Below are 25,184 nucleotides of genomic sequence, written 5' to 3'. Positions count from 1 at the left end.
CCCAGGCTCAAGTGATCCTCCTGCTTCAGCTTCCTGTGTAGCCGGGACTACAGGCACGCATCACCATGCCTGGCTAGTTTTTGTATTTTTAGTAGAGACGTGTTTCACCATGTTTCCCAGGCTCGTCTCGAACTCCTGGGCTCAAGGGATCTGCCTGCTTCAGCCTCCCAACGTGCTGGGATTATAGGCATGAGCCACAGCACCGGCCTCATTCTTCTTAATGTGAAGCAGCTTTTGTATTTTTATGGACTTGTTCCCTTATTGATGGGCATGTGGTTCATCTAGTTTTTTGCTTTTTCAAATAATGCTGCAAATAACATGCTTGGATCACCATTGTAGTAGAGGATCCTGCCTCCACACTCCCAAAGCTGTCCACACCCTCATCCCCAGAACCTGTGACTATGTCACCTTGCATGGTGAAAGGGACTTGGTAAATGCAATTAGGGGTACAGACCCTGAGATAGAAGACCATCCTGGATCAACTGGTGGGCCCTTGAAAGCGTTCTTGTAAGACCTGCCAGCACTGTGATTTTAGACTTCTGATCTTCAGAGCTGTAAGAGAATAAATTTGTTCTTTTTAAAGCCATTCAGTTTGTGGAGATTTGTTACAGTGGCAATGGGAGACGAATGCACTCATCTTTGTGCACCTGGCCGGCTGCTGCTATAGACTAGAGTCCTAGACATGAATTTGCCCCACTGAAGGGTGTGCTCACTGTCCATTTCTATTGACACCGTGAAGTTGTCCAATAAATACGCTTTGCACGTTGACACTTCCATCGTGTGGGGCAACCCTGGTTGGTTGCTTCTCCATCCCGGAGCCAGGACTGGATGTTTTTCACTACTTAAAATTTTTGTTGGCTGGGTGCAGTGACTCACGCCTGTAATCCCAGCACTTTGGGAGTCCCAGGCAGGTGGATTGCTTAGCTCAGAAGTTCAAGTCCATCCTGGGCAACAGAGCTAAGCCCCATCTCTACAAAAAATAAAAAATTAGCCAGGTGTGGTGGTGCGGACCTGTAGTCCCAGCTACTCAGGAGGCTGAGGTGGGAGAATCACTTGAGACCAGGAGGTGGAGGCTGCAGTGAACCAAGACCATGCTACTGCACTCCAACCTGGGCAACAGAGCAAGACACTGTCTCAAAAAAAAAATATTGAAAATTTGGAGACAAAATATTATCTCACTACTTTAATTTGAATTTATTTGAATTATTCTAATTGCATGCCCCCTACACCCTCAGTTGCTTGCTATGACCTCTGGTTATTTTTCTGTTGGGTTTGTCATAATTTTTTTCTTTGCTTGCAAGGGCTCTTCATATTTTCTATGAATGATAAGAATCCTTTGTTTATTTTAAGGGTTGCAGATATATTCTCCCAGTCTATTACTTGTCTTTTGAATTTTAGAAATAGTGCCTTTGGTCAAACAGAAGCTATAAGAACAGTTTTATGAGTAAAAGACGTCAGTCATTTTCTTCGTGGCTTTCGGGTTTCAGTTTACTTCACGTTTCCCTCTCCCAAAGAATATGAAAATGTGCTTCTTTATTTTCCTCCAAAACTTTTGTAGTCTATTAAAATACTGAACTCTTTAATTCTTCTGCTTTTTTGTGAACAGCTTGAGGTAGGGATCGAATTATTTTCTTCATGCAAGCTCCTACTGTCTCCATGCCATTTGCTGAAAAGGTTTTGCCATTGGATTTACTGCATCTTTTTCTAAAATCAGTGGCCATATCTGTTTGGGTCTATGTCTGAGGTTCCTGTTCTGTCCCATTAATCCATGTCTATCTTTGTACTGGTTACTCACTGTCTTGAGTACTGTAATGTAATAAGTCTTGAAGTTAGGTTATGTAAGTCCTCTATCTTTGATTTTTTCCCCTAAAATTGTTTTTGCTATTCCAGGTCCTTTGCTTTTCCAAATAAATTTTAGAATATGTTTGTCAAATCCTGTGAAAAAGTCTATCAGGATTTTGATTGGAATTGCACTGAATGTATATATCAATTAGGGAAAAACTGATATCTTAACAACATTGAGTCTTCTAATTTATGACCATGGGATATCTATCTATGTATCTGTGTATCTATCTATCTATCTATCTATCTATTATCTATCTATCTATCATCTATCTATTTATCTATCTATCATCTATCATCTATCTATTATCTATCTATCATCTATCTATCTATTATCTATCTATCATCTATCTAATATCTTTCAGCTTTTTTATCACTTTCAGTATATAAGAATTGAACATATTTTAATTTATTCCCAACTATTTCACTGATGTTCTTTTAAATGGTACTTTAAAAAAATGTAATTTCTGATGATTTGTTTCTAGCATATAGAAATACAATTGATTTTTATCTATTGACTGTTATGGACTGAATTGTGGCTCCTCCAAAATTTATATATTGAAGTCCTAACCCCCAGATCTTCAGAATATGATTGTAAAGATAGGGGCTTTAAGGAGGTAATGAAGTTAAAATGAAGTCATTACGGTCGGTCCTAATTCAGCATTGCTGTTGTTCTTATGGTAAGAGAAAATGTGGACACGCAGGTACAGAGAGAAGACCATGTGAAAACACAAGAAGAATATGGCCAGCTACAAGCCAAGGAGAGAGCCTCAAATGACAGCAAGCACACTGACACTTTGATCTTGGACTTTAAGTCTCCAGGACCATGAGAAAATGAATTTATCTTGTTTAAGCTGCCCAGCTTGCAGCCCTTTGTTGAGGCAGCCCTGGCAAACTTGTGTCCTGGGAAATGGTTAAATTCACTTATTAGAGATAGTAGCTTTCAAAATAATCCTTAGGGTTTTCTACCTAGACAATCCTGTTGCTGTCTGTGGTTAGAGACAATTCTACTTTTTCCTTTCTAATCTGTGTACCTTTTATTTCTTGTTCCTGCCTTCTTGCACTGGTTAGGACCTCCAATACAATGTTGAATGAAAGGGATGAGAATGGACACTCTTGCTTCATTCTCAATCTTTGGGCCAAAGCAGTCCTTCACCATTAAGTATGATGTCAGCTGTATGCTTTTCATAGATGTCCTTTATCAGGTTGAGGGAACCACCTTCTATTCCTAGTTGGCTAATAATTTTAATCATGAGTAGATGTTAGATTTTTGTCAAAAGATTTTTCTGCATCTATGGAGATGCTCATTTTTTGTTGTTGTTAATATGATAAATTACATTGATTGATTTGCAAATGTTAAACCAACCTTGCATTCCTGGATAAAACCTTGGTCATGGTGTGTATTATCCTTTTTATATATTGTGAGTTTCAATTTGCTAATATTTTATTGAGGATTTTTGCATCTATGTTCACAAGGGATATTGGCCTATAGTTTTCTTTTCTTGTAATTTCTTCTGTTTTGGCATCAGGGAAATGCTGGCTTCATAGAATAAGGTGGGAAATTCTCCCTCCTGTTCTGTTTTCTGGATGAATTGGTGTGGAATTGGTGTTAATCTGATAGAATTCACCAGTGGAACTATCTGATCATTGAGGGTTTGTGTGTATGTGTGGAGATAATTTTAATTACAAATTCAATTTGTTTGATATATATCATTCTCTAAGTCTTCTTGAGTGAACTTTGGCAGTCTGGGACTTTCCAAGCCTTTTGATATGTTGCATTTTTAATTTCCATTTAACTGAAAGTATTTTCTAATTTCTCTTGCAATTTCTTCCTTTTCCCATCTAGAAATGTGTTGTTTAATTTCCAAATATTTGAGAATTTTCCAAATACCTTCTCTTAATGATTCCTAATTTAAATCTGTTGTGGTCAAAACACATTTTTATGACTTCAATCTTTTTAAAGCATTGAGGCTTTTTCTATGGAATAGAATACAGTTTGGTGGACTTCCTTTGTGTGCTTGTAAAAAAATGTGTATTCTACTCTTGCTGGGTCAAATGTTCCAGAAATGTCAAGTAGGTTGAGTTGGTTGATAATGTTGCTCAAGTCTTCTATGTCTTAAATGACTTTCTGTCTACTTATTCTATCAATTATTTAGAAAGTGTGTTGAAATCTCCAACTATACTGTGGATTTGTCTATTTCTCCCTTTGGTTCTACCAGCTTTTGCTTCATGTACCTTGGAGATCGCTTATTAAATGCATACACCTTTCAGATTGTTATGTCCTCTTGAGGAGTTGGCCCCTTTATCACTATAAAATAACCCTCTTTATCCCTGATAAGATATTTTGCTATGGAATACATTGTGTCCGATGTTAAAAAGAGGCACTCCAGCTTTTCTTTTATTAGAATTTTCATGGGTATATCATATTGCATCTTTTAACTTCTAACATCTTTGTGTCTTAAATTTAGGGTGTGTTTCTTATAATAGCACATGGTTGAATCTCACTTGTTTTTGTTGAATCTGACCATCTTATACCTTTTAATTGAAATGTTTAGATTATTTACATTTAATATGAATATAAATATGATTGTGTTTAAATCTATCATCTTGCTATTTGTTTTCTGTTTGTCTCATCTGTTCTTTTTAATCTTCTGGATTAATTGAATACAGACTTAATTGAATAGAGACTCCATTTGCTCTCTATTATTGGGTGTTTTTTTTGTGGTTGCTCTGAGGTTTACAATAAACATCTTTAACGTATCACATTCTAGCTAAAAATGTCACACCACTTCATGTGTAGTGAAAGTTTACTCCATGTATAGTGTAAGTTTCCTTGTTCTCATTCTTTATAGGGTTGTTGCCATGCATTTTATCTGAACACATATGAGAAGTCCCACAATACTTTGTATTTACTTTGTTTTAGACAATTATTTTCAATAAATTTTAAGATGATACATATCATCACTTACTTATTTACCTATATATTTATTATTTCCGGCCACATTCCTTTCTTTGTCAAGTTCTAAATTTGTATCTGGTATCATGTTCTTCCGCCTGAAATATGTCCTTTAACACTGCTCACAGTGTTGCTGTCATGGTGGGTTCCCCCCGCTTTTGTATGTCTGAACACAGCTTTACTTCACTTACATTATGGAAATGTATTTTACTGGGCATCTATTTCTACAACTCTTGTGTTGACAGCTTTTAAAATCCCAGTGCTTTAAACTTGTTCCTCTGTTGTCTTCGGGCCTGCGTTGTTTCTTATAAGAAATCAAATTTCACTCTTTCTTTGATCTTCTGTGTGTAATATCCTTTCCCCCTGGCTGCTTTAATATTTCCTCTTTATCATGAGTTTTCAGCCATTGGCTGGTTTTCAGCTCTGTGGTGTGGTATTCTCACGTTTCTTCTCTTTGGGTTTTATTGAGCTTCTTGGATTTGTGTGTTTATAGTTTGTATCGAACCTGGAAAAATTTTTATCTTTGTTTCTTCAAATATGATTTCCGTGCCCATCCCAACCCCTGCCTTTGTTTTGGGCTCCAATTCCAGATGCTAGGACTCTTCATGTTGTCCCAGAATTTATGATGATTGGTTCATTTTTTTTCAATATTTTTCTCTGTGTTTTATTTAGAATAGTTTTTATTACTATATCTTCAAATTCATTAATCTTCTGTCCTATAATGTCTGTGTTAAACCTCATTTAGTATTTTTTCATTTCAAATGTTGATTTTAATCCCTAGAAGTTTTATTTGGATCTTTTTTATATTTTTAATTTCTCTCCTGATCACACTCACACTTTCCTCTATTTTCTTGAATATGAAATGTACTAATAATGGTGTTTTTAATGTCCTCATCTGAAAATTCTGTGGTATTTCTGGGTCTGTTTCTATTGATTTATTTTTCTGTAATTATGATTGCATATTTTGCTTCTTTGCAAGCCTGGTCATTTTTGGATACCAGAGATTATTAATTTTACATTGTTTGGGGCTGAATATTTTTGTATCTTGAAAAGTATTTCGGGGCTGTATCCTGGGACACAGTAACATTGGAATCAGCTTGATCTATTTGAAGTTTTCTTTTTAGTGATGTCCAGAATGATCTTTTGGTCTGGGGCTAATTTGAGCCCACTCCTGAGGTGGGCACCCTGTTGAGTCCCTCTCCCAGTGTCTGCTGTGCCGGGACGTCTCTCCACTCTGCCTGCAGGGGACATGAGCGGTTCCCAATCTCCCATGCGAGCTCTGGGGATGGTTCTGTCTGCTACTCGGTGTGGTCTCTCCCTGGCCCCTGCAGCCTGCTCAGGGACATGCACAGCCAGTGGCTCCCAGGGCCTCTCTGCAGCCTCTGGAGCTCACTCTCAGGAAAGCTTCCTCCTCTCCAGCACCCAGCACTATGAATGCCCGCACCTCAGAGTCCCTGAACCCTGGGCTGTGGCTCCTCCAGGCAGCAGGACCGGGGCTCATCTGAAAACTCTCTCTAGGCATGAGGGGGGCTCCTGCAGGGCTCACCCGTCTGCTGCCTGCTCTCTGGGATCACTGTTGTGTGCTGCATGTTGCATAAATTGTCTGAAAACCACTGCTTCATATATTTCCCTGCTTGCTTTAGTTGCTTAAGGCAAGAGCATTAATCCTGTCTCTGTTATTCTATCATGGCCGGAAGTGTAAGAAAGTTCAGATTTATTGTTTCGAAATCAGTTTCTCTCTGATGGAATTTTGGGAGGGAAGAAAAGCACATGCATTTTCTCAGCCCATCATCTCAATTAAAACCTGTACATTTTCATGAGGAACCCCCAGCAGATTGGCGGTGACCCCTCCAATAGCTTCAGTCTCTGTTGCTTGTCACCCCAAATGCTTTGTGGGGTGGGGTAGGAGGGGCATTTTCCAGCCAGTGCATTAGGAGTGGCTGGGGCCTTGCACACCGATGGGTGGCTGTCACGCTGGGGAGGGATGAGTCCCACTGATGTGTGACACACGGAGCTCCTGTCCCATGGTCTGTCCTTCGCAGATGGTGAGTCCCCTAAGGACAGGGCTTGGGACCTCTGAGTGTAGCCCCTGCGCAGAGGGGTCTGGCGGCACACACCTGTGGAGTGAACAGTTAAGGTGAGACGGCCTTGCTGGTCTGCACCTTCTCTTCCCCTGAAGCATGGCACCACTCAGGCAGTGCAGACCCTTCACACTTCTCCAGGCAGGGAGAGCATCTGGATGAGCAAAGCTGCAGCTTATCTCATTGTGTCTCCCCGGGCACCCGCTCCAGGGGCCTGTGGGGTCTCAGGGTGACTTATGCATGTCACCTGCTCACAGTGACATGGATGGTCTGCAAGGAAGATGCCCCTTGGTGGCTGCGTGGCAGGGGAGAATACGGCAGAAGCTGAGTCGTGGTGCATCTTTGAAAGCCCAGAGAGTGCTCCACCCGCCTCAGGTCCCATCCTGGGATTCCTGGGGGAAAAAAATGCCTGGAGTTGGGCCGGGCCATGGGCATCCACGCAGGGGCATGCGTTCACTTCCAGTGCCTTCCTCCCAGCTGGTGGCCAGGAGGCCCTGGTGAACATTCCCACTGCCTGCTCCTGGTTTACACAAGGGAAACCACTTGATTGACTCTGAGAGGCGCGGGGAAGCAGAGACCTAGATGACCTGAGAGAAGAAACCCTGAGAGTATCAGGGACAGCATATTAGCAGAGAGCAGTCCTGGGGTGGACGTGAGCTGTGCAGCTGGGAGGAAGCAAGGTGGCTGCAAGACCAGGGTGTGCGCACGGTGGGAGGGAGGCGGCCCCAGGTCAAATGTCAGTTCACAACAGCCAGGAGGGGTCTCCATCTCCCAAGGGAACTGAGGACAGGAAAGGACAAAGGGACCAGACACGACTCTGGAGAGGGGCTGGCAGAGGGAAAGAGAGCAGTGACAGCTTGATGCTCACTCACTTTGCCCAACTTAACCTCAACATGGAGACAGGTGGAGGGACGGTGCTCCTGGGATGCAGACCTGGGTCTGCCTCTCCCTCCTTGGGACCTGGGGCCTCCCACCTGCCCTGTCTGCCCTCGCTTGCCCATCTGGAGTCAGGAATGCCAGCGTGCAGACTCTTGAGGGTTTAGAGGCAGCGGGGCGCCCACACGGTCTGTCCTCTTTCAACAGCAGCTATGGCCCCAGGCCCCTCCTCCCGCAGGGAATGGGGCCAGAGGCTCCACATGGGGCTTCTCATCATGCCTGTGCCCCTGCGTGTGTCTGTAGTCAGGACATCCTGCTCCTCCCAGGGCAGAGTGGCTGCTGTCATATCCAAAGTGGCATTGGCTCCTGCAAGGGCTCACGGGGAAACTGAGGCCACCCAAGACCTGCCTGGAGCTCGTCGCTCCTCTGGCTTGGTAGACCCTAGGGGTCCTTGGGCTTTTCCTCTCACTCTGGAGCAGCAGAGCAGAGCCCCAGCTGGTGGGGGCACCTGTGGCAGAGGAGGCGGGCTGCCTGCGCCATCCAGCAGGCCAGTGTGGAGTCCAGCATCCATCAGGCCGGTGTGGAGTCCAGCACCCAGCAGGCTGGTATGGAATCCAGGCCCGTGGGTGCTTTTTCCTGAACTTTGTATTGGAGGATGACACCAAACAGCTGACTGGCTAGAAACAGTGTCCAGTTGCACAGTGGGGTTTGCTCTTACTTTTGGCCACGCTACCTGGTGGCCATCGGAGGCAGGTCCCGGAGGTGGCCCCATGAGCGCTTGATGCTGCAGGAGCCCCACCTGAAACACGGGGACCCGGCCGGCCTCCTGCAGGTGAGAGCAAAGCCCAGGCTCGTGATTTTAGGTCCCCCACAGTGTGCCAGGGCAGGACCCCAGCCTGGAGCCCCTGACAGCTGAGTCACTATTGCTCGGCCACGATGGATCCCTGCGTCCCTGGCTGTCCTCCCTGCCCTGAGGAGAGGAGCAAGGCTCAGTTCCTTTCTGAGCTGTTCCCTATCTGCCCACCCTCCCCACGCACCCTGTCTTCCCACCCACTCTGTCCTATAAAGAATTTGTCGGTCCCGAGGGTGAAGGTTGATGATCTTCAGAATTGCACAAGGAGATGACAGGTGCACTTTCTCCCAGGAAAGAAAAGGGAAAGCACCTCCTCTGCTCTCTGGCTCCTTTTCAGAGTGGGCCTGCCCGCTTCAAAGGCGTCTTCCCTCCCTCCCCTGGCTGACCCCACAGCTGGGAGAAGGAAAAGGACTTTCCTTTCGATGTGCTGGTTGCTACCCCGTCTTCTTTATTAAGAAGAATTCTAAAAGGTCAGGCAAGACAAGTGCTGACTGCTCAGCTCCCTGTCTTGGGAGAAGTTAGCGGGTGACCTCCTTCGATAGTGGGGCTGGGGCCCTCCAGACTGCTGTGAGCATGACATTGGACTCCTGGATGGACCCCTGCACACGTGCTCCCACCAGGCTTCCTGTTGCCCATCACCCTGCATCACTCTGCCTTCCTCACCAACCACCCATGCTCACGGCTGCCTCAGGGCCTTTGCACAGCTGGGCTCTTGGTCGACATGCCGTGCCCCTACTACCCTCATGGTTTGCTCTTCCCTGTCACTGGGGTCTCCGCTTAATTGCCCCTCTCCTGACCTCCCTGTCTCATCTGCAGCCCCTGCCCCACGGGAGGTGAGGGAGCCCCTGGTGCACGGGCTACGACCCCTCTGCCTGCACGCTGCTCTCGCCCTGGCTGCCCTGCTGGGGTGTCAGCACTGACGGGGGGATATTCAGGTGAGGGATTGAGTGGACAGGGGCGGGGCTGAAGGAGGACAGGCGGAGAGGGGGTCCTAGGGCAGAGCCCACCTTGGCCTTTCCTCCTCTGAGGGTGGACGCTGTGTTGCCCATTCTCTGACACTCAGGTGCGGTGCCCAGGCTCCGTTCTTTGCAGAGTGAGAAAGTGGGCTGCAAATTGCCCTGAGAGGGCAGGTGGACGCAGGGTGGCTCTGCAGCTGTTGTGGCTCCCACTTCCCTCCTGGGGGGCCCCAGAGGTCCCAGAGCCTGAGCCAGGAGGCTGCAGAGGGCCATACGCCTCTTGTCTTATGTCTGCCCTGCTGTGTCTCTGGCTGACTCTCAGTGGATTCTCGGGGTCTTGAGCCTTGCCAGGCTACCAACAAGCTCAGCTGACAGTGCAGATGCAACATTAGGCGTCATCAGATGCTCTGGGGCCGAGTAGGGGCCAGTGGGGGTCAGCTCGGGGCTGTGGGCCATGGGCTGCTTGAGGCTGGGAGGCTGTGGGTCCCACAGCCTCCCTTTCCTGCCCTGATCTTGGCTGGATCCTGCAGGTTGAAGCCCCTTCTGTTGGCTGTGGGCAGAGCTGCTGAGGCAGATTCTTCCCCACCAAATGCAGCCTGTTCCCAGGATCCTGACCTCAAACTGGAGAAGCTTCAAAAAGAATAAAGGAGGTACCAACGTCCAGATCCCAGGCCCAGGGAGGAGGAGGCACTAGCGGGTGGGCAGCAGGGCTGGGATAGCACCCCAGCCTCACGACCCTTGCAGAGGCTGAGCCAGAGAGCCATGCAGAAGCCTTGTGGGTCCAGATTTGGGTTGATGGGAAGAGGCAGGCATGGGTGGTTGGTGAGGAAGGCAGAGTGGTGCAGGGTGATGGGCAACAGGAAGCCTGGTGGGAGCAAGGGTAGGCCTGGAGACCCTGGGCTTCACCCCCATCCCACAGGGCAGTAGAGGAGACTGAGGCCCAGGACACAGAGCAGGTCAGAGGCCCAGTCACACCAGAACTCGGGACATCGCCCTCTAGGACACAGGGGGCTCTGGTGGGGACCAGGGGCTGCACAAGGATGGTAGAGGGTCTTGAACCCAGCCCGAGGGCCAAGTGGTCTAGGGAAGGAGGTGGTTCTGCAGGAGAGAGAGGGCATGTGTGTGTGTGTGAATGTGCATGAGTGTGTGTGCGCATGTGAGTGTGCATTGGTGTGTGAATGTGTGTGAGTTGCATTGGTGTGTGTGAATGTGTGAGTGTGCATTGGTGTGTGTGAATGTGTGAGTGTGCATTGGTGTGTGAATGTGTGTGCGTGTGAGTGTGCATTGGTGTGTGAGTGTGCATTGGTGTGTGTGAATGTGTGTGCAATGGTGTGTGTGATTGAATGCATGTGAGTGTGCATGTGTGAGCATGGGTGTGGATGTGTGTGTGAATGTGTGGGTGTGCCTGTGGGTATGCATTTGTGTGTGCATGTGAATGTGTGTGAGTGTGCATCTGTGAGTGTGCATGTGTGCATGTGAGTGAGCATGTGTGTATGTGAATGTGTGTGACTGTTCAGCAGTGTGAGAATCTGTGAATGTGTGTGTATGTGAGTGCATGTGTGAGTGCAGGTATTTTGTGTGCGTGTGTGAATGTATGTGGGTGTGCATGTGTGTGCTTGTGAGAGTGTGAACGTGGATGTGATTGTGTGAGTGCATATGTGTGTACATGTGTGTATGTACGTGTGTATGTGAGTATACCTGACTATGCATGTGTGAGCATGTGTGGGTATCTGTGTATGCGTGTGAAGATGAGTGTGGGTGTGAGTGCATGTGTGAATGTGTGTGACTGTGAGTGCATGTGGGTGTGTGAGCATGTGTGTGTGCATGTGTTTGTGTGTGAGCACATGTGTGTGAGCATGTATGTGCATGTGGATGTGTATATGAGTGTGCATGTGTGTATCTGTGAGTGTGTGAGCACGTGGGTGTGAGCATGTGTGCACGGGTGAGCGTGCATAGGTGTGTGAGTGTGTGTGTATGTGGGTGTGAGCATGTGTGTGAGTGTGCATGAGTGTGTGCATGTGTGTGAGCGCATGTAGATGTGTGAGCGTGTGTGTGGGTGAGTGTGCATACAAGTGTGTGTATGAGTGTATGTGAGCGTGTGTGGGTGTGTGAGCACATATGTGCATGTCAGTGTGTGTGTGTGAGTGTATGTGGGTGTGTGAGCATGTGTGTACGGGTGAGTGTGCCCATAAGTAGGTGCATGTGTGTGTGTGTGAGTGCACGTGGGTGTGGGTGTGCATGTGAGCGTGCCAGGCCCTCGGAAGTGTGTAGAAGGCCTTGTCAGCCAGCAGCTCCCGTTTCCTTTCCTGCCCCTACCCTACTGTGCAGAGCTCACCCTGCAGCTCCATCTCTTTCTTTCCACTGTAAACCAAGCTCGAGGGGCCCAAGCCTCGTGGGGGGTGCATGGGCTGATGTGTGAGGAAGAGCAGGTGTGCCCACCCAGCGCCTGCCCATTGCCGCCGTGTCTGCCCGACGCCGTGTCTGACAGCATCCTTGAGGGACCAGGCTCCTGACTGCAGAGAGGGCTGGAGCCCATTATGCCCGAGCTGATGCAGGAATAATGAGGGGAAGACGCGGTAATGGGAAAGTCTGTGTCTAATAAAGGGAAATTTATTCAGTGCGCTCCAGAGGAGCTGGGCGCTGGCTGGTCTTAAAACAAAACCACCGCCTGCCAGCCTGCACCGTTTGCTCCCTGACAAAGGCTGCGGTGGCTGGAGAGCACAGGTGGGGACGCAGCTCCCTGGGGGCTTGAATTAAGCAGATCCTGGGCCTGGTTCATGCCTGGAACGGGGCTGGGGACCGCTGCGGGGCTAGAGCAGGGCCGGAGGCAAAAGGCATGAGGCGCTGTCCTCAGAGTGGGGGCTCTGCAGGGGGTGGGGTTCTGCCAGGAGGAGGCAGGAACAGAGTGGGCTCATGGACATGTGGGTTCTGGGGTAAGCTCCGCCCCTGAGTGCGAGCCCCACTAGGCTAGTCTGCAGCTGCAGGACCACCATATGGACTGCAAATAGGGTGGATAAATATTGCCCCCAGGGTTTTTGTAAGAAGAGCAGGAATACCTTACTGCTAACTCTGAGGGCCTCTGCTCATGTTTCCTTCTCTGTGGCTGGCCCTCTTTGGAGTTGTGCAACACAGCAGTCCCTGACAGGGAGGGGCTCCCCACATGCCTCCGCGCCCCTTGCTGTTGAATTTGGCAGAGCAATGACATTTAGTGCTACCTGTGCCAAGCACCCAGGGAGTGTGAGTTGGCTCAACCCGACAGTCTGGCCTGTGATCTGGGGCCTGGCCACCGTGCTCCCCTTTGAGAAGGGTGGGGGAGTAAGATCTGGACAGGTAGCTGGGGCCTGGCCACCGTCCTCCCCCTTGGGAAGGGTCGGGGAGTATGATCTGGACAGGTAGCTGGGGCCTGGCCACCGTGCTCCCCCTTGGGAAGGGTCGGGAGTATGATCTGGACAGGTAGCTGGGGCCTGGCCACCGTGCTCCCCCTTGGGAAGGGTCGGGGAGTAGGATCTGGACAGGTAGCTGGGGCCTGGCCACCGTGCTCCCCCTTGGGAAGGGTCGGGGAGTATGATCTGGACAGGTAGCTGGGGCCTGGCCACCGTGCTCCCCCTTGGGAAGGGTCGGGGAGTATGATCTGCACAGGTAGCAGTCACACGCTGGCTTTGTAGGATATTTAATGTTCTAAGAGACAGGGTGGAGACCTACTAGTGTGGGCACAGGGCATCAGAAAGCCCCACGCCTGGAGCCAGGGTGCCCATAGGCGGGTGGGAGGCCTGGGGTGCCCAAGACGGAGGCAGACACAGCCCAGGACCAGAGGGTGCCCTCAGGACCAGTATGCCCTGCTCCCGGGGTGGAGCCATCAGGGTGTGCTGTCCTGAAGGCGGGGACTGTGGCTAGGCCCCTCCACACCCAGAATCTTCTCCGTAGCCTGGTTGCTGCTTCGTCGCTTAGTTACAAGCCCTAATGAGGAAAGAACCTCCTCCTGGGGCCCAGCTCACGCTGGAAGAGCCCAGAAGGCCAGTTCGTGTCTTCCCTCAGGAGACTTTCAGAGAAGGGTCCCACCCCTGAAGCCCCCCTGGGGTGACTCCTTCATTAGTGCCTCCCTGCTTGCTCGGGTCTGCACCGCCCTCCAGGCTGCTCCCCCACCCCCACTCCTACCCCCGGACTTACAGGAATAATCTTTGCAAATGAGCACCCCTCCCTCTCACTCCCCTGCTCCTCCAACACCTTCTGTGGCTCCCCATTGTTTCAGGGTAAAGCCCACGCACGCTGGCCCTCCTGCATACGCCCTTCTCTGCGTCCTGTCCACCTCTGGCCCTCCTGCACACGCCCTTCTGTGTGTCCTGTCCACCTCTGGCCGCACTCACTCTGCCCGAGGGCCCCAGCTGGACTCTGGGTTCCCAGCGACCAGGGCCCCTGCTTTCCTACCCAGGTATCTCTCACAGTGCTCACACCTCGGAGGGGCTTGAGGCAGATTTGCTGAATGATTGAAAATGCAAATCACAGACACAGCGCCTGCATTTTCCCCAGGGATGAGACATCGTGGTCTCGGCAGGCAGGGCTTGGAGACGGCTTTTTCTCTTCTTGCAATTTAGGCTCTGGAATCCTTGCCTAAGGGGGCCTCAAGCCAGGGCCTGCCTTCGGGAGGTCCCTGGGTTGGGGTGGGGGCCTGTTGCCGTTGGCTGCTTCCTTCACTCACCAAATGGAGGGAAGTCTGACTCGGGGACCCCAGCCCACAGCGGTTGTGGCCCCCAGACCCCAGCAGCCACCCAGACCCTCCCTCCTCTAGCGCCTTCTGCCATGCTTTGCCACCCAGGAGCTTGTACTCATCCCACTGTGGCTTAGTAAGAAGGGCCCTGTGTCAGGGAGCGGTGAGATCATGTGCGGCTCAGACGGAGGCCCCTGCTTCCAATAAGCGGATGGATGGATGTGCGCCTCTGGATGGCCGCGTGCTGTGAGCGCAGACGCATATGTGTTGTAATCTATTTCCAAAACATGACCCCAGCCATCTCACAGGGAACATCAATGAATATTTACTACCTTGTTTTTTTTTTTTTCCTAAAAAAAAAGTAATTTCACTGTCTGGTTGTTAAATCTATTTTTATTGCTACAAAAATGCCTCCTATCCATTAAGATGAGGAAGCCAGGTGCTGGGGACGATTGTGTTTCAGGGCCGCTGTGCCTTTCCTTCTGGGAGGAGGGGAGGCTGAGTCCTTGCCGCATTTCTGGGGCCTTTTGCTCTGCAACTGCCAGAGATGCAGCTTCTCAGCTGAGCTGTGGTGGATGGGGTGGCTGGGCTGAGCAGCCTCAGCACCGGAAGCCCCTGCTAGGCCAGGCCTCGCCTCCCTAGCAGCACGGACGCTAACTTGTTTCCTGTCTCAGGCCAGTGGCCCCCAGGGGCCCAGTACTGTGGCTGGAACCTCGCTCCCTGCAGGAGGCCTGGCCCTGTGGGAGGCAGGGCTACTCAGGTGCACCTTGTGGCGGTAACCTAGGAGACAGCCTGACTCCCAGGCTGCTGTGGAGTGAGGGCTGGAATTCCCCACCACACCTGGCCCTGGAGTGGTCTGGGGCATCTCCCCTGGGAATGCTCACCTCGTGCCCCCAGGAGAGGGGGCAGGATGGGAAGGACTGGGCGAGTCAGCCCCTCTGCCACCCCTGCTGGTGGCTGGTGGCCCCGCATCTGCTCCCTGCGAGCTGCCGGTGCCTCAGGGCTGTCTGTGTCCCACCAAACATTAGGGTCAGCGCTCTCCTGGGGAGGGTCTGGCTTTCTCCTCCAAGCCTAGTTCCAGGGTCAGCCTTGTAAGGCCCAGGGCCGAAGCTCCGGCGTCCCAACTGGGGGAGGGAGAGCACAGCCCAGGGCAGTGCAAGGACAGTCTGACGCCCACAGACTCCCTGGGTTCTGGCTCCAGGGCCCCCCACACATGGAGTGAGACCCGGTCCCAGGAGCCATCAGTGTGTCTGGAGGGAGCAAGGTGCCTCCTCCAAAGTCCTCCCTCGCCTCCCAGGGCAGGAATGCTTGTGTCACACAGGCCGGGTGGGTTTCAAACAACAGGTACAAGAATAGCAATATGTATTGAGGCTTCCTCAGTGCGTTTCCACCTACTGATTCAGTTCTCACACCCACCCCGGGCGGGAGGAGCTATTGTTATTTCCGGGCTCAGAGAGGTCAGGGACGTGGCCCAAGGGGCAACAGCCAACAAGGGGAAGAGCTGGGATTCGAGCCTAGGACACCTGTTTCCAGGGTTTTGACTGTCCACAGCCAGACCCACTGTCCCCACTGGACTTGTGCCAAAGCCAGTAGTGACTGGGCCCCTTCCACAGGGATTTCATTAATCCCCATGGTCACCCTTGGAGGCTGAGTCACAATCTCCACTTGGAGACACACCAAGGGTCTGTAACATGGCTGCAGCCACAGGCACGCCATCTTTGGGCACCTAACATCCGTCCCTCCTCAGCAGGCCTGGCTGTCCTGACAGAGGCCAGATCCTCGCTGGCCTCAAGGCCCGTGCCATCACTGCCCACCACGGCCCTGGCCATTCTCCCACCCTTGTGGTCCCCCAGTGGTCCAGGTGCCCTCCTACTGTGGGCTTCACAGACACCATTCCCACCCCAGCTCACCCGCCGGGGATTGCCCGCTGTGTCCTCTCAGCTCAGCACCTCTTGCAGATTTCAGTTCCAAGGGGCCTTCCTGCACTGCCTTTTGGGGGTGGGCCGCACCCCACACAGGAAGCCCCAGATCTCCCTCCGGTGTGTGGGTGCCTGGAGTGCTTTCCACCACGAGGGTGGGCTCCCGGAAGGCCCAGGGCCATCCTGCTCGAGTTACAGCTCCCACGTCTCTGCCCTGCCTGGTGCCATTCTTCTTCCACGGGAGAATGCATGGAAGCCAGGTGCCAGCTCAGGACGGCACCTCCTCTGCCAGCCCGCGAGAGAGCTGTGCTTTTCGTTTCAGATACAAAGCCAGGTCCAGAGAGGGTCAGAGACTTCCCGGTGGCCTCACAGCTCGTAGAGGCTGAGCCAGGTTGACCCAGGTCCACGAGGTGTTGGACTGGGGCTCCGGACATCACCTTCCAGCTCAGACACCTCGCGTCTGTACCCTGTGGACTGAGCAACCAGGGGAAACAGAGGCAGTAGATCCTCCTCCTTCCTCACTCGCAGCAGGTGACAGGTTTGGGTCCAGTGGTGCTGGATCTGGGCCAGCTGCGGATTTGCTCCCCACCATTCCATCAGTAGCCCATAAGAAGGGCCCATGGAGGCAGCTAAGATCGCCCCCAGCAGCCCTGCTGTCCACCTGCCCTCACCTCCAGCTCCGCCCCCCAGGTGGACCTTCCAGACCCAGGAATGATTCTGGCTGTGGCCTTTAGGATGCCCTGGTCAGAGCATGGGGAACTGGCATCCAATGGCAGACAGGGGCTATCTCAGGACCCTCAGGTGCTGGGATGGTGGCTCCTGAGGGTGGGTCAGAGGGCCTGTGTCTCGGTACTGCCCCCTTCCCCGCAGAGGCTGAAATCTGCAGGGAATCCACCCTGTTTCATGGCTTTTCTGCTCCCATATGCCATGCGCAGAGTGTGGACATCAGTCTGTGGGACCTGGGCTCTCTCCAGTCACTCATGGTGGCAGATGGGGAAAGTCATTCATTCATTCACTCATTCATTCATTCCCGAGGGCCAATTTCACACTTTTCGGGGTGCGGCACCACCTTTTGGGTAAGCGGTGAATGTTCCGTGGATGCCGACTTACCGAGCTTCGGGCTGGTTTTGTTTTCTAAGTTCTAGGTGTGGCAGTGAAAGGAGCCCCTTTCCCATGGTTTTGGGCCTGGATGTCGGGCAGAGAAGAGGAGGGGCGCTGGGGTGCCGCCAGGCCTGGGTGAGGGGCAGCTGGAACAGCGTGGGGACTCAGCCTGGGTCCTGGGGCCAGCAGTCTGCCCTGCCATTTCCCCGCTGTGTGGCCTCCAGCTCTTCTGGCTCCCAGTCTCTGAGCCTGGGTTTCCTGATTATGGGATGGGACCACTGCGCCTTCTCGGTGGGCGTGAAAAACAGGACAGGTTACTGGAGGGGGATGCTGAGCCGAGACCTGGGCATCTTTGATTGCTCCACAATGCACAAGGCCATGTACCCTAGGCCTGGGAAGGACTCAGGGGAGCCCTTGGTGTCCCAGGCTGGCCTCTAACCAGTGGCTCAGAAATGATGAATAATTAGGAATCTTTGACAGACTCGACCTCTCTCTCTGATTTTCTTCCTCTGAGGTCTGGGTTCTTTGGGCTTGACATCAAACCACACATTTTCTTTCTTTCTTTCTTTTTTTTTTTTTTTTGAGACAGAGTCTTGCTCCGTCGTCCAGGCTGGAGTGCAGTGGTGCGATCGCGGCTCACTGCAAGCTCCTCCTCCCAGGTTCACGCCATTCTCCTGCCTCAGCCTCCCGAGTAGCTGGGACTACAGTCGCCTGCCACCACGCCCGGCTAATTTATTTGTATTTTTAGTAAAGACGGGGTTTCACCGTATTAGCCAGGATGGTCTCGATCTCCTGACCTCGTGATCCACCTGTCTCAGCCCCCCAAAGTGCTGGGATTACAGGCGTCAGCCACCGTGCCCGGCCACATTTTCTTATTTCATAAACACAGGGGCCAGGGAAGTTTGTTAATTCCCCCCTTTACTCATTCAACAAAGCAACTTCGAATCTCCGCCAGGATATGTGGGCATGGCAGTAGAAGCCAGGAACACAGTGGTGGATGAAAGGGGCAGGATTCCTGCCTGCGGGGGTCCCCAGGTTTGGGGAAAAACAGGCAGGGGGCAGAATCACACAGAATTGTTTTTCATGGCCATGCTGAGAAGGGGCAGTCCTTGCAGCTGTGAGTGAGAGCTGAGAAGGAATCCAAGCAATGGAACCATCCTGGGCTGGGGAGCTTTTCCAGCCAGACTGCGAATCAGAGCCACGCACTGCCTGCCTGGAAGAGGAAGCTCTGGAGGTGCAGCGAGGCGAGAGCCAGGGCCTGAGAATGCCTCCACTCCACAGCCCACACCTGGAAGAGGAAGCTCCAGAGGCGCAGCCAGGGCGAGAGCCAGGGCCTGAGAATGCCCCCACTCCACAGCCCACACCACGACCGCTCAGCCGGTTTCTCTGGGTCACAGCCAAATGACAAAACCAGGTCACGTGGTCTTAAATTAAATTTCCCCTTAAAACAAAAGCAGCTCCCAGGGGAGCTATCTTTGCTTCCCTCGGATTCGAAGCATGGAGGCAAAACACACATTTTGGGAAATTAGCCCTTAGCTGGGCTGCAGCCGCAGATCCTGCTCACGCCCAGCTTTGCCCATGGCCAAGGGCGGTGCCACCTACCGAGTGTCCACAGACTCCTCACTCCCAGCTGTCCCGGGCAGGGCGCCTGCAGTGTGGCCAGACCATGACCAGTCACTATAATACATTACAGTCTATTCCGTGATTTGCCAATCTACGTGAAGAGCAGTACTGCCAATCACCGTTTTTAATAACGAATGATTATCACACTGGGAAGTCACACGTGTGTCAAATAGCATATGCGATTCCCCCTTCAGATGCCTCATGCAGCATCACCTGGCATGGAACTGCAGCCCCCTTGGTCACTGTAGTAACCACCCCCCGGAGGAGCCGGGGAGGACTTGGTCCCCTTTTAACTCTTTGAAGCAAGTTACTGTCCATGACTACACTGTCCTTTCTTGGCCCAGGAATGGGGCTGACACCATAACCCCACATTCCCACTCAGTCACTTGAGCCGCAGAGCCTTGGAGCTGCTCCAGGGCCGGAGCCCCTGTGGAGTGAGCTTCCACCTCCTTCAGGTCCCCAGGAAGTAGGTGTTGCCATCTGGGTCTAAGTTCCCTGGATGATCCCGGAGGAGGAAGGGCCTGGGGGTGCCAGCTGAGAGCCAGGTTATATTTAGGGGAGGGGACAGGGCGGTTGGGGCAGGTCTGCCGTTAAACCACCTAGAGCAGGTAAGAGTCATCAGGTAACTGGAAGCCACTGGTAAGGCAGATCTAATCCCTGGTGAGGTCTCCAGCCCATCTGCCCAGGGCAGCCCGGCCCTTGCAGCAGACCTGGCCGCAGCTGAGGTCACTGGGCACCACTCACATCTCCCCTGAATAACCATCCCAAGTTACAGGTACCTTTCCCCGACCTCCAAGGCCTATCTTCACTGTACCCCAGAAACTAGGTTTATACGGGCAATGAAAGAAAAGGAAGACAGAGGTAGAAGGAGGAGGGGAGGAAAGAAGGGAGAGAGGGAGGGAGGGAGGCTGGGAGAAGGTTGCTGAGATGAGAGGGGAGTAGCCAGGACACACCAGAAAACAAGATCGCATTTGTGAGTTTTCAAAGGGTTCATCTAAAATATAGTCAGGGAGCGGGAAAGAAATCAAAACACGAAAACTTCCTCGACAGCTTCTTTTGTGCCAAGCAGAAAGTATTTTCAGAGCTCATCCGGGCATCCCGGCATTTCATTATGGCTGTGGGGTAATTAACGTCTGGCGGTGGGGTGGGATTGCTGACGGCTGGGTATCGGATTTCAATTTCAACGTGTTAGGTTTGCCTGTAATGTTTTTGAATTTGTGTTTTAGACGCTGGCAGGTTTATAAGGGCTTCAAGTCTCGCACGTGCTGATTTGCCACGCTGCACGGGGAAGGGAGTAATTTCTGTTGGTAGCTGACAGCACCTCTGAATGATGCTTTACAAGCCTGGAAGTGTAGGGCCTGGCTACCTCCCATGAGAACAGATAGGAGCAGAGTTAAGTGCTTTTGCAAAAGCCTGAGGTCCTGCCAAGACCAGGCAGCCCCGGAAGGCACGCGCCGCCCTTCGAATCGTGTGTGTTTGGGGAGATTTTTAGGCCATTGGAAAGGCCATCTGTACCTTATCACGTTTTCCTCCTTGTCTTCTATGTGTTGATTCCAATGTGTCCCACGTTTCAGTGCTTTTTCTCTGTGTTGTGAAATGTCACTGGAAAACCAGGCTCCAGATGCACCCCCTTCCCCCTCCTCACTCACACTCACTCTCCTTCCCACGAGGGCTGCCAGATTTAGCAAGAACGAAACAAAACAATGCCAAACAGTGCTGGATGCCCAGTTATATTCGCATTTCAGAGAAACAATATATATATTTTTGTACAACTATGTCCCGTGCAATATTTGGGACAAACTTACATCAACACAATGATTTGTTGTTTATTTGAACTTCAGACTCTACAGGGTGTCAGGCCATATATCTGGCAACCCCATTCCCAGCCCACACTCCCCCAACACAGTCTAGGATCCTATTAAGCCACTGTGTCTTGCTGGCTACCTACCAGCATGGGCAGCCATGGCTTCTTCCCCAGACCCTGATGTGGGGCTCCTGGGCCCCAAGGGAAGGGAAGCTGGAATCAGGCAGAGCCTGTGTGCAGAGTGCGGTCCCGGGGTCAGGGCACCAGTTTCAGTAGCTTCTGAAAAGGGTCTGTGGCTCACAAGAAGAATAACCACAGGGGGGCCTGAGGATGACCAGGGTGTGGACAGGTGGACAGTGGCCCGAAGTCCCCACGCTGCCTTGGCCTTACTCCTTGGGCCACATTGTAGGAGAGGCCTGAGGGCAAGCACATCAGGCACTTGGCCTCCTAAACCCGGCGGTAACGTCCTTGTGGAGGTTGACATGGGGGCCGTATTCCCTGCTTGGGGCTACCCTGTCCCTATTAAAAGGTCTGAGCCGGGGGCTCCAGCACCCAGGAGATCAGTAGGTCTGAGACCATCATTCCTGATGGGGAAACTGAGGCCAGTTTCCTGAGGGGAGCCTGACGTGTGTGTGGGAGGGGAGTGTGAGTGGACAGCAGGTCTCTGGCCTTGGGCGACCAGGACCCACCAAGGTGGAGAGTCCTGTCCAGCCGGGCTTCGGTGCCATCCTCAGTAACCACAGGGGGAAGGCCCAGGCTGGGGAACTCCAACACCTGGGGCTCGTGCTGGGCTCTCAGCCAAGCGCCGAGGCTGCTGTGGCTCCCGGGTTCTCTCCCTCTCCTCTCTGGCCACTCCCTTGCATCACAGAGAGCTTGGTACCTGTGTGTAGGAAGCTTCAGACTCAGACGGAGCTGGGTTCAAGCCCAGGCTTTGCTGCTACTGTGCATGTCCTGAGGCTGCTGCGCTAACCCTCACTCGGTTCAGAGCTGAAAACGATGCAGACGTGTTGTCTCACAGCTCTGCAGGGCAGAAGTCCAAAATAAACCACACTGGGCTGCAGTCCAGGTGTCCACAGGGCTGGCTCCTTCTGGAGGCTCAGGGGAGGGTCCGCTTCCAGCTTCCAGAGGCTGCCTGCAACCCTTCCTCCTCACGCTGCTGTCTCCCTGCCGCTCCCTGGCCTGCCTCTCTCCTCCACTCTTAAGGACTCTTATGATCCCCCTGGGCTCACGTTCTCTCTCTCAAGCGACCTTAATTCCATCTGGAAACATAACTCCCCCTTACCATGTAAAGTAAAATACCCACGGGGTCCCGATATTAGAATGTGGGGTTGCTGTGGGTGATTTTTTCTGTTGCTCACGGGTCAGTGATACCAGTAGGTCAGTGTTTTGTTTCTGTTTTTGTTTTGAGACGGAATCTCGCTCTGTCGCCCAGGCTGGAGTGCAGTGGCGCGATCTCGGCTCACTGCAAGCTCCACCTCCCGTGTCCACGCCATTCTCCTGCCTCAGCCTCCCTAGTAGCTGGGAGTACAGGCGACTGCCACCACGCCCGGCTAATTTTTTTGTATTTTTAGTAGAGACGGGGTTTCACCGTGTTAGCCAGGATGGTCTCCATCTCCTGACCTCGTGATCCGCCTGCCTCGGCCTCCCAAAGTGTTGGGATTACAGGCATGAGCCACCGCACACGGCCAGTAGGTCAGTGTTTAACCTCTTAGAGCCTCAGTTTCCAATTCTGTAGAATGGGGGCAGGGTGATACCCACCCGGCAGGATTCTGGGGTCAGTGGGAACAAGACTGTAAGTCAGGCACACAGCTGCTGGCCTGGAAAAGGTGCTGGATCCGGGGAAGTCACTGCGAGTGGCAACAGGAATGCCGGGAGGCCAGAGCCTGCTGCTCACGACAATCAGGGGTGGTATTGGAGAGGGAGTGCATGTTTTGGGGTGAGGAAAGGGCTGTTGGAGGACGCTGGAGCCCCCAGACCTGCATTCAGTTCTACACTTGGAATGGGGGTGGGGGGACTTTGTTTTTTTTCAGGGCCCAAATGATCAGGCCAAAGGCTCCAATTTCCTGTCCTCCTGGCTTCATCCCACATGTCAACCAAAGGCCCTTTTTATTTGCCACAGAAGACATTTAGCTCTCCGGAGTGGCAATGTACCCAGCGGCCTCAGGCTTCCTCCCACCCCAAGATGCTGCCCAGATCTGAACGTCCCCGGCAGGCAGCTCACCAGTCAATGCTGCCGACTCTATTTGTCAGGAGCAAAATGGCCTCAGCACGTTCGCTGACCGCCAGTGACTCCCAGCAGTACTCAGAGCCCTTTGCCCCGGGGGGCTTCCAAAGCTCTAAATAGCTGCTCATTCTTCTGGGAAGCAGAGCCGGGTGAGGGTGCTTGTCTGTGCAGCTGCAGGCCTGCCCTACTCCCCGCCTGCAGTGGGCCCTGCACCAGCACCTTCCTCTGGGACCAGGCAACTCTCCAGGCCCGCTGATCCATCCTAGCGAGCCCCTATTTTGTGCCAGAAAGCATGCTAGGCATTAGACGTCGAACCCCAGCAGCCTCAGCATGCCCTGGCCCCACTAACGCAGGCTACCACGGGGACCACTGCAGAGCTGTTTTTTTGTTTTTGTTTTGTTTTTGTTTTTTTGAGACAGAGTCTCGCTTTGTCGCCCAGGCTGGAGTGCAGTGGCGCGATCTCAGCTCACTGCAACCTCCGCCTCCCCGGTTCAAGCAATTCTCCTGAGTAGCTGGGATTACAGGCGCCCGCCACCATGCCTGGCTAACTTTTGTATTTTTAATAGAGACAATGTTTCACCATGTTGGCCAGGCTGGTTGCGAACTCCTGACCTCAAATGATTTGCCTGCCCTGGCATCCCAAAGTGCTGAGATTACAGGCGTGAGCAACCACACCCGGCCAGGAGGGGGTTTATCTGTTGCTTCTCAGGAGGGATTTGCAGCGGCTGCATGGAGTGCTATTTTAAGGAGGATTCTGAGGGAGAGTCTTGGTGCTGGAATCACATGGATATATTTCTGGGGCATGACGGATACGGGGGCACTTTCTATCTGGGGACAAAAGGCCACGTTTACTATTGAAGATGGAACTTGACTTCCCCCAGGAATGTGGACAGTGGCTTCCCAGCCCTGGCAGGAAGAAGTCGAAACTCCTTAATTTACCACCCAAATGTCTCTGCTGCCTGACCCAACTTCTCTTCCCACCCTAACCTGGAATTTCTGCCCTTCCAACTCTTGTTCTTCACCCAGCTGCCCTCCCCTCCATCCCTTGCCCATGCCCCTGGCTCTGTTCCCTGAATGGAGGCAGGAGGTCTCTGCTCACTGCAAAGCTCGTTCAGGGCCCATTCCATGTCAGTCAGCATCCCATCGGGAGGCAGGTGGCTCACTCAAATCCCTGCAAGGGGCAGGCCTGGAAAGGGACCATTGCAGACCCTTGGGAGGCAGAAAGCGACACGCGCGGGAGAGTGCAGGGACCCAGGCCAGCAGCAGCTGAGCTGTCACCACCCCTACCAAAGGCACAAGGCAGGGGGCACCCCCAGGACCTGGGAAGGAACACAGAGAGCTGTCTGCCTAGACAGGGACCTGGCCTGAGGGACAGACTCATGGTGTCCCACAGGGAGGGCTCAGGGGTGATGCTTCCTGACCCTGCTGTCCTCCCTCCCTCCAGTCTCCAGCCTGAACTCCCCATTGGCCAAATACAACTAGAAACCAGTGGACTCAGGGTCAAGGTCTGCCCAGGCCTGGTGTCACTCAGCACAGCTTCCTCCACCAAACAGAGGCAGCTCATTCTCCAACAAAAGTGACAGCTCCTTCCAGAAAGGGCAATTGGGTCCCCAAACAGTTTGTTTTCTATGGCAACTGCAGCCTCAGCCAGGGCCCTCCCCACCTCAAAGCCTGTATTTGGAGAAGACATTTTGTCATTCACCATGCATAAAAAGCTGTGGCTGGGCCACACAGAGACAGTGCCTATGTCCTCAAGGATTCTCCAGTCAATGATTTTTCAGAATCAAAAACATTCAGGCTGCATTTCCTCCGGGAGTCCCGGCCCTTGAGGTCTCCAGGCCATGTCATGTGCCTGCACACAGCATGTGTGGGATGCATCGGTGGATGCCTTTTCTGAAGCTGTGAGTCTTTAGAGTTGTCCTCCCTCCACGACCCTGTCCACACAGCTGAGGGTACCTTTGGAGCTCCTCCGACAGCATCTCACATCCAGCAGAGCTCTGAGTCAAAAGCAGGAACACCACCTGCAGCAAACACACACAAAGGAACCAATTGAAAGGATGCTGGGGGCTCCCAGAAAATGAGGGAGTCCAGATAACTAGGCTGGACGTAGCTGCTGTCGGGACTGGTGCTTAAGTCTGCTGAAGTGCCAGCTTGCAAAGGTTAGTCTTCTCATACTGTTATGGGATCTTTGGAGTGTCAATTTTCTGGCCAGAAACCTCTGTGGCTAGTGGTGGGTTTGCCCAA

The 25,184-nt window shown here is 52.2% G+C and overlaps 7 annotated features.

Moving 5' to 3' along the window:
- Nucleotides 12,328-12,905: an enhancer, noted in NCBI's record as "H3K27ac-H3K4me1 hESC enhancer chr9:138116375-138116952 (GRCh37/hg19 assembly coordinates)". NCBI's record gives its function as "activates a minimal SCP1, AML or CMV promoter by ChIP-STARR-seq in naive H9 embryonic stem cells {active_cell/tissue: H9 hESC(naive)}" and the evidence as "EXISTENCE:reporter gene assay evidence [ECO:0000049][PMID:30033119]".
- Nucleotides 12,906-13,483: an enhancer, noted in NCBI's record as "H3K27ac-H3K4me1 hESC enhancer chr9:138115797-138116374 (GRCh37/hg19 assembly coordinates)". NCBI's record gives its function as "activates a minimal SCP1, AML or CMV promoter by ChIP-STARR-seq in naive and primed H9 embryonic stem cells {active_cell/tissue: H9 hESC(naive and primed)}" and the evidence as "EXISTENCE:reporter gene assay evidence [ECO:0000049][PMID:30033119]".
- Nucleotides 14,063-14,640: an enhancer, noted in NCBI's record as "H3K27ac-H3K4me1 hESC enhancer chr9:138114640-138115217 (GRCh37/hg19 assembly coordinates)". NCBI's record gives its function as "activates a minimal SCP1, AML or CMV promoter by ChIP-STARR-seq in primed H9 embryonic stem cells {active_cell/tissue: H9 hESC(primed)}" and the evidence as "EXISTENCE:reporter gene assay evidence [ECO:0000049][PMID:30033119]".
- Nucleotides 15,249-15,318: an enhancer, noted in NCBI's record as "active region_29292". NCBI's record gives its function as "activates an Ori minimal core promoter by ATAC-STARR-seq in GM12878 lymphoblastoid cells {active_cell/tissue: GM12878}" and the evidence as "EXISTENCE:reporter gene assay evidence [ECO:0000049][PMID:35858748]".
- Nucleotides 16,979-17,553: an enhancer, noted in NCBI's record as "H3K4me1 hESC enhancer chr9:138111727-138112301 (GRCh37/hg19 assembly coordinates)". NCBI's record gives its function as "activates a minimal SCP1, AML or CMV promoter by ChIP-STARR-seq in primed H9 embryonic stem cells {active_cell/tissue: H9 hESC(primed)}" and the evidence as "EXISTENCE:reporter gene assay evidence [ECO:0000049][PMID:30033119]".
- Nucleotides 17,554-18,129: an enhancer, noted in NCBI's record as "H3K4me1 hESC enhancer chr9:138111151-138111726 (GRCh37/hg19 assembly coordinates)". NCBI's record gives its function as "activates a minimal SCP1, AML or CMV promoter by ChIP-STARR-seq in primed H9 embryonic stem cells {active_cell/tissue: H9 hESC(primed)}" and the evidence as "EXISTENCE:reporter gene assay evidence [ECO:0000049][PMID:30033119]".
- Nucleotides 18,130-18,705: an enhancer, noted in NCBI's record as "H3K27ac-H3K4me1 hESC enhancer chr9:138110575-138111150 (GRCh37/hg19 assembly coordinates)". NCBI's record gives its function as "activates a minimal SCP1, AML or CMV promoter by ChIP-STARR-seq in naive H9 embryonic stem cells {active_cell/tissue: H9 hESC(naive)}" and the evidence as "EXISTENCE:reporter gene assay evidence [ECO:0000049][PMID:30033119]".

Source organism: Homo sapiens, chromosome 9 (genome assembly GCF_000001405.40).
Source record: "Homo sapiens chromosome 9, GRCh38.p14 Primary Assembly".
NCBI lineage: Eukaryota > Metazoa > Chordata > Mammalia > Primates > Hominidae > Homo > Homo sapiens.
Note: the sequence above shows the minus strand (reverse complement) of the source record. Positions and strands in the feature narration are given on the sequence as shown.